Source organism: Homo sapiens, chromosome 14 (genome assembly GCF_000001405.40).
Source record: "Homo sapiens chromosome 14, GRCh38.p14 Primary Assembly".
Classification (NCBI taxonomy): Eukaryota; Metazoa; Chordata; class Mammalia; order Primates; family Hominidae; genus Homo; species Homo sapiens.
Genome location: NC_000014.9, coordinates 81,034,839 through 81,044,796, shown reverse-complemented (window position 1 = coordinate 81,044,796; position 9,958 = coordinate 81,034,839). Strand labels below are relative to the sequence as shown.

General features: G+C 34.7%; 1 protein-coding gene and 1 long non-coding RNA gene across 6 annotated transcripts in view, besides 1 other annotated feature; one reads left to right on the top strand and one right to left on the bottom strand.

The window, feature by feature from the left end:
- TSHR (thyroid stimulating hormone receptor) overlaps nt 1-9,958 on the bottom strand; it is a 190,686-nt gene that overhangs the window by 101,510 nt on the left and 79,218 nt on the right. The window lies entirely within an intron of this gene.
- Nucleotides 1-9,958, top strand: part of TSHR-AS1 (TSHR antisense RNA 1) — a 156,341-nt gene that overhangs the window by 125,610 nt on the left and 20,773 nt on the right. The gene's annotated exons all lie outside the window — the stretch shown is intronic.
- Nucleotides 3,369-3,490: a silencer, noted in NCBI's record as "fragment chr14:81507651-81507772 (GRCh37/hg19 assembly coordinates)". NCBI's record gives its function as "represses an EF-1alpha promoter that drives an FKBP-Casp9 reporter gene in an ReSE screen in HepG2 liver carcinoma cells {active_cell/tissue: HepG2}" and the evidence as "EXISTENCE:reporter gene assay evidence [ECO:0000049][PMID:32094911]".

The window sequence follows — 9,958 nt, the reverse complement described above, 5'->3', positions numbered from 1 at the left end:
GACAGTGTATAGCATTCTTTTTTTCTCTGCAATCTCGCCAGCATCTGTTGTTTTTTGACTTTTTAGTAATAGCCATTCTGAACTGGTGTAAGATGGTATCTCATTGTGCATGTGTGTGTGTGTTTTTTTTTTTTTTTTTGAGACAGAGTCTTGCTCTGTCGCCCAGGCTGGAGTGCAGTGGCGCAATCTCGGCTCACTGCAACCTCCGCCTCCCAGGTTCAAGCAAGTCTCCTGCCTCAGCCTCCCAAGTAGCTGGGACTGCAGGCACATGCCACCACACCTGGATAATTTTTTGTGTTTTTAGTAGAGAAGGGGTTTCACCGTGTTAGCCAGGATAGTCTCAATCTCCTGACCTCGTGATCCGCCCACCTTGGCCTCCCAAAGTTTTGGGATTACAGGCATGAGCCACTGTCCCGGCCTCATAGTGGTTTTGATTTGGGTTTTTCTAATGATCAGTGATGTTGACCTTTTTTTCGTATGATTGTTGGTCCCATGTATGTCTTCTTTTATGAAGTGTCCATTCCTGTCCTTTGCCCATTTTTTAATGAGGTTGTTTGTTTTTTGTAAATTTAAGTTCCTTGTAGATTCTGGATATTAGACCTTTGTCAGATGAATACATTCCAAAACTTTTCTCCCATTCTGTTGGTTGTCTGTTCACTCTGATGATAGTTTCTTTTGCTGTGCAGAAGCTCTTTACTTTAATTAGATCCCATTTGTCAATTTTTGCTTTTGTTGTAATTGCTTTCGGTGTTTTTATCATGAAATCTTTGCCTGTGCATATGTCCTGAATGGTATTGCCTAGATTTTCTTCTAGGATTTTTATAGTTTTGGATTTTACATTTAAGTCTTTAATCCATCTCGAGTTAATTTTTGTATATGGTGTAAGGAAGGGGTCCAGTTTCAGTTTTCTGCATATGGCTAGCCAGGACTCTCAGCACCATTTATTAAATAGGGAATCATTTCCCCATTGCTTGTTTTTGCCAAGTTTGTTGAAGATCAGATGTTTGTAAGTGTGTGGACTTGTTTCCGAGTTCTTTTTTTCTGTTCCATTGGTCTATGTGTCTGTTCTTGTCCCAGTACCATGCTGTTTTCATTACTGTAGCCTTGTTGTGTAGTTTGAAGTTAGGTAGCATGATGCCTCCAGCTTTGTTCTTTTTGCTTAGGATTGTCTTGGCTATTTGGGCTCTGTTTGGTTTCATATTAATTTTAAAATAGTTTTTTCTAATTCTGTGTAGCATGTCAATGGTAGTTTAATGGGAATAGCATTGAATCTATAAATTACTTTGGGCAGTATGACCATTTTCACAATATTGATTCTTTCTATCCATGAGCATGGAATGTTTTTCCATTTGTTTATGTCCTCTGATTTCTTTGAGCAGTGGTTTGTAGTTCTCCTTGTAGAGACTTTACACCTCCCTGGTTAGCTGTATTCTTAGGTATTTTATTCTTTTTGTAGCAGTTGTGAATGGGAGTTCATTCGTGATTTGGCTCTCTGCTTGCCTGTTGTTTGTGTACAGGAATGCTAGTGATTTTTGAATATTGATTTTATATCCTGAGAATTTGCTGAAGTTGCTTATCAGCTTAAGAAGCTTTTGGGCTGAAACTATGGGGTTTTCTAGATATAGGATCATGTTATCTACAAACAAAGATAATTTGACTTCTTCTCTTTGAATCTGAATACTCTTTATTTCTTTCTCTTGCCTGCGTGCCCTAGAACTTCCAATGCTATGTTGAATAGGAGTGGTGAGAGAGGGCATCCTTGTCTTGTGCCAGTTTTCAAGGGAATTATTTCCAGCTTTTGCCCATTCAGTATGATATTGGCTGTGGGTTTTTTATATACGGCTCTTATGTTTGTTTTGTTTTTTACTGACACATTATAATTGTACATATTTATCAGGTACAGGGTGAAGTTTCAGTACATGTATAGTTGTGTAATGACCAAATCAGGGCATTTAGCATATCAATTACCTTATACATTTATCATTTCTTTGTTGTGAGAACATTGAAAACACTCTATCCTAGCTATTTTGAAATATACAATGCAATGTCGTTAACTATAGTCACCCTACTGTACAACAGAACACAGAACTTATTTCTCTTATCTAACTGTAACTTTGTACCCATTGACTAATCTCTCCCCATCCTCCTCTTACCCCTACACTCTTCTGCCTGTGGTCACCACTTCCCTACACTCTACTTCTATGATGTCAACTTTTTTAGATTTCACATATGAGTAAGATCATACAGTATTTGTTTTTCTCTTTCTGTCTTATTTCACTTAACATCACATCCTCTAGATTAATCCATATTACCCCAAATGACAAGATTTCCTTCATTTTTTATGGCTAAATATAATTCCATTGTGTATATTTGTGACATTTTCTTTATTCATCTCTTGATGAACACTTAGGCTGATTCCATATCTTGGCTTTTGTGAATAGTGCTGCAATAAACATGAGAGTGCAGATATCTCTTTGACATACTGATTTCATTTCCTTTGAACATATACACAATAGTGAGCTTGCTGGATCACATAATAGTTCTAGTTTTAATTTTTTGAGGAAACTTCATACTGTTTTCCATAATGGCTGTCCTAATTTACCACCAAAAGTGTATGAGAGTTCTCTTTTCTCCACATCTATACTAGCATTTGTCATTTTTTGGTATTTTGAGAATACCCATTCTAATTGGGGCAAGGTGATATCTCATTGTGACTTTTATTTATATTCCTCTGATGATTGGTAATGTTAAGCATATTTTCATATACCTGTTGGCCATTTCAGAAATGTCTATTTAGGTCTTTTGCCCATTTTAAAATCAGATTACAGTCATGCATCATTTAAGGGTTGGAATATATTCTGAAAAATGCATTACAACGCAATGTTGTTATTGTGTGAACATCACAGAATGTACTTACATAGACCTAGATTGTATAGCTTATTGCTCCTAGGCTAGAAACCTGTATAGTATATTACTGTACTGAAAACTGTAGACAGTTGTAACATGATGGTAAATATCTGTGTACCTAAGCATATCTAACCATAGAAAAGGCACAAAAAATACAATATTATGATCTTATTGAATCACTTTTATATATGCTATCATTGACCAAAATTTTTCTTTAACTTTTAAGTTCAGGGGTACAAGTGCAGGTTTGTTCCATAGGTAAACTTGTGTCCTGGGGGTTTGTTGTACAGATTATTTCATCACCCAGTTATTAGGCCTAATATCCATTAGTTGTTTTTCCTGATCCTCTCCCTCCTCCCACCTTCCACCCTTCAATAGGCCCCAGTGTGTTTTGTTCCCCTCTGTGTGTCCATGTGTTCTCATTATTTAGTTCCCACTTATAACTGAGGACATGCTGTATTTGGTTTTCTGTACCTGCATTTGTTTGCTAAGGATAATTGCCCCTAGCTTCATCCATGTCCCTGCAAAGGACATGATCTCGTTCTTTTTTATGGCTGCATAGTATTCCATGGTGTATATGTAACACATTTTTTTATCCATTCTATCATTGATGAACATTTAGGTTGATTCCATGTCTTTGGTATTGTGAATAGTGCTGCAATGAACATATGTGTGCCATGTCTTTATAAGAGAATAATTTATATTACTTTGGGTATATACCTAGTAATGAGTAATGGGATTGCTGGGTTGAATGGTATTTCTGTCTTTAGGTTTTTGAGAAATCGCCACGCCTTCTTCCACAATGGCTGAACTAATTTACACCCCCACCAACAGTGTAAAAGCATTCCTTTTTCTCTACAACCTCACCAGCATCTGTTATTTTTTTACTTTTTAATAATAGCTATTCTGACTGGTCTGAGATGGTATCTCATTGTGGTTTTAATTTCCATTTCTTTAATGATCAGTGATGTTGAGCCTTTTTTCATATGATCATTGGCTGGATGTATCTTATTTTGAGAAGTGTTTGTCCATGTCCTTTGCCCACTTTTTAATGAGGTTGTTTGTTGTTTTCCTGTAAATTTGTTTAAGTTCCTTATAGATGCTGGATATTAGACCTTTGTCAGATACATAATTTGCAAAAATTTTCTCCCATTCTGTAGGTTGTCTGTTTACTCTGTTGATAGTTACTTTTGCTGTGCCAAAGCTCTTTAGTTTACTTAGATCCCATTTATCATTGACCAAAATGTTATGTGGAACATGACTGTATTTGTTTTTTTGCTGAGTTGTTTGGGTTTCTTTTGTATTCTGTATATTAACCCTTTATCAGATGTATGCTTTGCAAATATTTTCTCCCATTCTGTATGTCGTCTCTCCACTTTGTTAATTGTTGACTTTGCTGTGCAGAAGTTTTTAGTTTGATGTAATCCCATTTATCAATTTTTGCTTTTGTTGCCTATGCTTTTCAGATGTTATCAAAAAAATCTTTGCCTAGGCCAGTGTCATAAAGGGATTTCCCTATGTTTTATTCTAGTAATTTTATCATTAGTGTTGATTTAAGCTTCTAGTCAATATTGATTTGATTTTTTGTATATGATGAAAGACGGGGTCTACTTTCATTCTTCTGCTTGTGGATATCCAGTTTTCCCAGAACCATTTTTTGAAGAGACTCTTCTTTCCCCAATGTGTATTCATGGCATGTTTGTTGAAAATCAATTGGCTTTAAGTGCGTGGATTTATTTCTGTGATCTCTCTTCTGTTCCATTGGTCTATGTGTCTATTTTAATGCCAGTACCATGCTGTTTTGGTTACTATAGCTTTGTAGTTTATCTTGAAGTCAGCTAGTACAATGCCGTCAGCTTTGTTCTTTTTACTCAAAATTGCTTTGGATATTCAAGATGTTTTGTGGCTTCATACGAATTTAGGGTTTTTTCTATTTCTTTGAAAAACTGTCATTGGAATTTTGATAAGGATTTCATTGAATCTGTAGATCTTTTGGGAGTAGTATGGACATTTTAATATTAATTTTTCTAATCAATGAACTCAAGATATCTTTATCCATTTACTTGTGTCCTCTTCAATTTCATCATCAACATTTTATAATTCCCATTGTAGAAATTTTTCACCTTCTTGGTTAAATTTATTGCTAAGTATCTTTTTTTTGTAACTGTTGTAAGTGGGATTGCTTTTTTGGTTTATTTTTCAGATAGTTTTTTATTGGCACATAGAAGTGCTACTGATTTTTGTATGTTGATTTTGTATCCTGCAACTTTACTAAATTTGTTTATTAGTTCTAATAGTTTTATGGTGGAGTCTTTAGGGTTTTTTTAATATATAAAATTATGTTATATGAAAACAGGGACAGTTTGAGTTCCTCCTTTTCCATTTGGATACCCTTTATTTCTTTCTCTTTCCTAATTGCTCTGGGTAGATGAAAGTGTTGAAAGTGGGCATGCTTGTCTTGTTCCAGATCTTAGAGGAGAAGATTTGAACTTTTCCGTGTTCAGTATGATGTTAGCTGTGGAATTATCATATTTGGCCTTTATCATGTTAAGGTATGTTCCTTCTATACCTAATTTGTTGAGAGATTTTATCCTGAAGGAATTTTAAATTTTATCAAATGCTTTTTTTGCATCAGTTTTGTCATTGATTTTATTAATGTGATGTATGATGCTTATTGATTTGTATATGATGAATCATCCTTCCATCTCCCAGTTGGTCATGGTGAACTCTCTTTTTAATTTGCTGTTGAATTTTGTTTGCTTGTATTTTGTTGAGGATTTTTGCCTGTAGTTTTCTTTCTTTGTTGTGTCCTTGTCTTGTTTTTGTATCAGGGTAATGCTGGCCTCATAGAATGAATTTAGATGAACTTATCTCCTCTTCAGTTTTTTGGAATAGTTTCAAAAGAATTGGTATTAATTATTCTTTAAATATTCAGTAGAATTCAGCAATGAAGCCATCAGGTCCCATGGTTTTCTGTGATCGGAAATTTTTATTACTGATTGAATCTTGTTACTCATTATTGATCTGTTCATATTTTCTATTATCAATTTTGGTAGGTTATATGTGTCCAGGAAAATATCCATGTCTTCTAGATTTTCTTTTTTTTATTTTTTCTATTTCTTTTTATTTATTTTTAATATATATATATTTATTTTTTATTATACTTTAAGTTCTAGGGTACATGTGCACAACATAATTGTCTCTTATGATTCTCTGTATTTCTGTGGTATCAGGTATAATGGCTTCTTTTTAATCTCTGATTTTATTTATCTGTGTATTATCTCTTTTTTCTTTGTCTAGCGAAAGGTTTGTCAATTTAGTTTATCTTTTTAAAAAATAATTCTTTGTTTCATTGATGTTTTCTATTTTTTAGCCTCTATTTCACTTATTTCTGCTCTGATCTTTATTATTCCCTTCATTCTTAATTTTAAATTTAGCTTGTTCTTTTTTTTTTCTTTTTTTACTTCCTTGAGGTACAATGTTAGGTTGTTTATTTGATATCTTTCTATTTTTTTGATGTAGGTGTTTATTGCTATAAACTTCCCTCTTAGAACTGCTGTTGCTATATCCCATAGATTGAGGTGTGTTGTGTTTCCATTTTCATTTGTTTCAAGAAATTTTAAATTTTCATTTTAAATATTTTGATTGGCCCATTGGTTGTTCCAGGAGCATGTTGTTTAATTTCCATGTATTTGCACGATTTCCAAAATTCTTCCTCTTATCAGTTTCTAATTTTATTCCATTGTGATCAGAAAAATACTTAATATGCTTTTGATTTTTAAAAATTTGTTGAGACTTGTTTTGTGGCCTAACATATAATCTATTCTGGAGAAAATTCAATGTACTTTTGAGAAAAATGTGTATTCTGTAGGTTGCTGGTGGGTGAAATGTTCTGCAAATATCTGTTAGGTCCATTTGGTCTAGAGTGCAGTATAAATCCAGTGTTTTTTTTTTTGCTGATTTTCAGTTTGGATGATCTATCTATTGCTGAAAGTAGGGTGTTGAAATCTCCTACTATTATTGTATTGCAGTCTGTATCACTCTTTAGATGTTATAATATTTGCTTTATATATGCTCTAGTGTTGGGTGCATATCTATTTAGAATTGTTTTAATTGGTTGCTAATTGACCCCTTTAGTATAGATTTACCTTCTTTGTCTCCCCTTTCAATTTTTGAATTATCTGTTATCTAAGTATAGCTACTCTTGTAGTCTTTTGGCTTCCATTTGCATTGAATATCATTTTTCATCCCTTCGCTTTCAGTCTACGTGTGTCCTTATGGGTAAAGCAAATCTCTTGTAGGTAGCATATAGTTGGGTTTTGTCTTCTACCCATTCAGCCACTCTATATCTTTTAATTGGAAAATTTAATTCATTTACATTCAAGGTTATTATTGATAGGTAAGAACTTACTCTTGACATTTTGTTAGATCATTTTCTGTTTTTTGTTTGTTTGTTTGTTTGTTTGTTTTGTATTTCCTTTGTTCCTTTTTCCCTCTCTTATAGTTTACCTGTGTGGTTTGGTGATTTTTTTTGTAGTGATAAACTTTGATTTTTTTTTTCTTTTTCATTGTGTATCTGCCGTAATTTTTTTCTTTGTGGTTACCATGGGGCTTACATTTTAAAAACTGTGTAGTTATAATAGGCAATTTAAGTTGATAATAACTTAACTTTGGCTACATGCAAGTATTCTAGACTTACCTTCTACCTCCCAAATTTGTTTATTTTTTATTAAAAACATTTTTTTTTTGAGACTGAGTCTTGCTTTGTTGCCTGGGCTAGAGTACAATGGTGCAATCTTGGCTCACTGCAACCTCGTCTCCCGGGTTCAAGCAATTCTCCTGCCTCAGCCTCCTGAGTACCTGGGACTGCAGGCACACACCACCACACCCAGCTAATTTTTGTATTTTTAGTAGAGATGGGGTTTCACCATTTTGGCCAGGCTGGTCTCAAACTTCTGACCTCAGGTGATCCACCCACCTCGGCCTCCCAAAGTGTTGGGATTACAGGCATGAGCTACTGCACCTGGCCTCCCCCACCAAATTTATAACTTTGTTGCTTACTTTGTATCCTTTCATATCCTGTACGTATTTTAACAACTTGTTGTAGCTATAGTAATCATTGACCATTTTGACTTTTAATCTTCAAACTAGACAACTGAAAGTTTATATACCACCACTACAGTAATGGAGTATTCTAAATTTGATAATAAATTTACTCCTACCAATGAGATTATACTTTCTTTTTTTCATACTAGTAATTATTTTCCTAATACATCCAGTTGAAGCATTCTCTCTAGCATTTCTTATATGGCTGGTCTAGCAGTGATGGATTACCTCAGCTTTCTCTTGCCTAGAAACACTATTTCTCCTTCATTTCTGAAGTATAAATTTTCTGGGTGTAGTATTCTAGGTAGACAGTTCCCCCGCACCCCCACCTCACCTCTTTAAGCACTTCAAATTTATTATCTGGTTCTTTCTTGGCCTGCAGTTTTTGTTGAGAAATCTGCTGATAGTCTAGTGGGGATTCCCTTATATGTAACTTGATTCTCTTCTCTCACTGCTTTTGGAATTCTGTCTTTAACTTTTGATGATTTGATTAAAATGTGCTTTGGAGAGAACCTCTTTGGGTTGAATCTGTTTGGGATCCTTTGTGCTTCATGGAGCTGGATGTACATATCTCTCCAAAGACGTGGGAAGTTTTTAACTGTTGTTTTTTTAAGTAACCTTTCTGTGTCTCTCTTCATCTTTGTCCTATGGAAATCCCATAATGCAAATATTTGTTTGCTTAGTTGGTGTCCCAGAAGTCCAGCTGGCCTTGGTTGTTCTTTTTATTCTTTTTTCTTTTGGATCTCTGACTAGGTTATTTGAAAAGACCTGTCTTTAAGTTCACAAATTTTTGTCTTCTGCTTAATTTAGTCTGCTATTGAAGCTCTGAATTGTATTTCTTCATTTTATTGGTTAAATTTTTCAGCTCCAAAATTTCTGTTTGGTTCTTTTTATTTTTATTTATTTTTATTTTTTTTGACACTACCACAAAGGCTCTCCATTCATCTGAATGAAGATGCCAATAAATGACTTTTATTGCGGGTTTGTTTGCTGCATTCAAATTATGCAATGTAAGGGGTAAAGTGTACAACACATAAAACCCCCAGCATCAAACAAAGAAGCAAAACAAAACACAAGCATTACCCATTTCCTCTAAATTCACAGTACAACAGCCAATTATGGAAATGATGTGGTAGGGAATAAACAATGGAATATTTTCTTCACATCAGTAATTAATATTTATTCCCCTGTGAAGTTCATTGTTCTAATTTCCATTATTCAGAGGGGAAGTTCTATCCTTGAGGACACCCAAAAGTATGCTGTTACATGGCAGCATCAGCAGCATCCTCGGCATTGGAAGAAAAAGCCAAGCAGCTCGTTCTCTGTACAAAGTTGTTGCTCCATAAATAATATAACAATAGAATCATTTCACCATTATCAGGTCTCCTGCAAGGGTTACCACATGACTTGTCCAGTGAGGTCCTGAGGTCAGTAGAGTCACAGCTGAGCAGGGCATGGGCACTTCTAAGTGGGAAGGCATGACAGTATGAGAGAATTTTCTAGCATTGGAACCTTTCTGCAGTTTACACAACACTTCAGATAAACTGTGTATTATTTCCCAGAAGGTATCAAAGTTCAATTCTTATAGCTTCTTCATGCTCAATCATTACTTTTCAGGGCCGCTTCAACTCTTAAACTCCAAGAAGCTGAGGAGGAGAAAAATGACTCTTATCTGTAGGATTTGAGATTCCAACCTTTCATTCACTTGGCAGATGGATCCTGAAAGCTGCTAGGTGTCAGGCTTTGCACCCTCCCTGTTTTTTGGGAATTGGCCCGAAGGCTTTAGTAAGAGTAAGTTGGGAGCTGAAGCACATATGTTTGCTTAACTTTATTTAACATTTTTATTTTTTAAACTGTAGATTCAGATCTGACTATACAATTGCACATATCTAAGTATTTTTTTTCTTCTGGAGTTACAAACCCTTCATCTGGGTTTGTGTAGGAA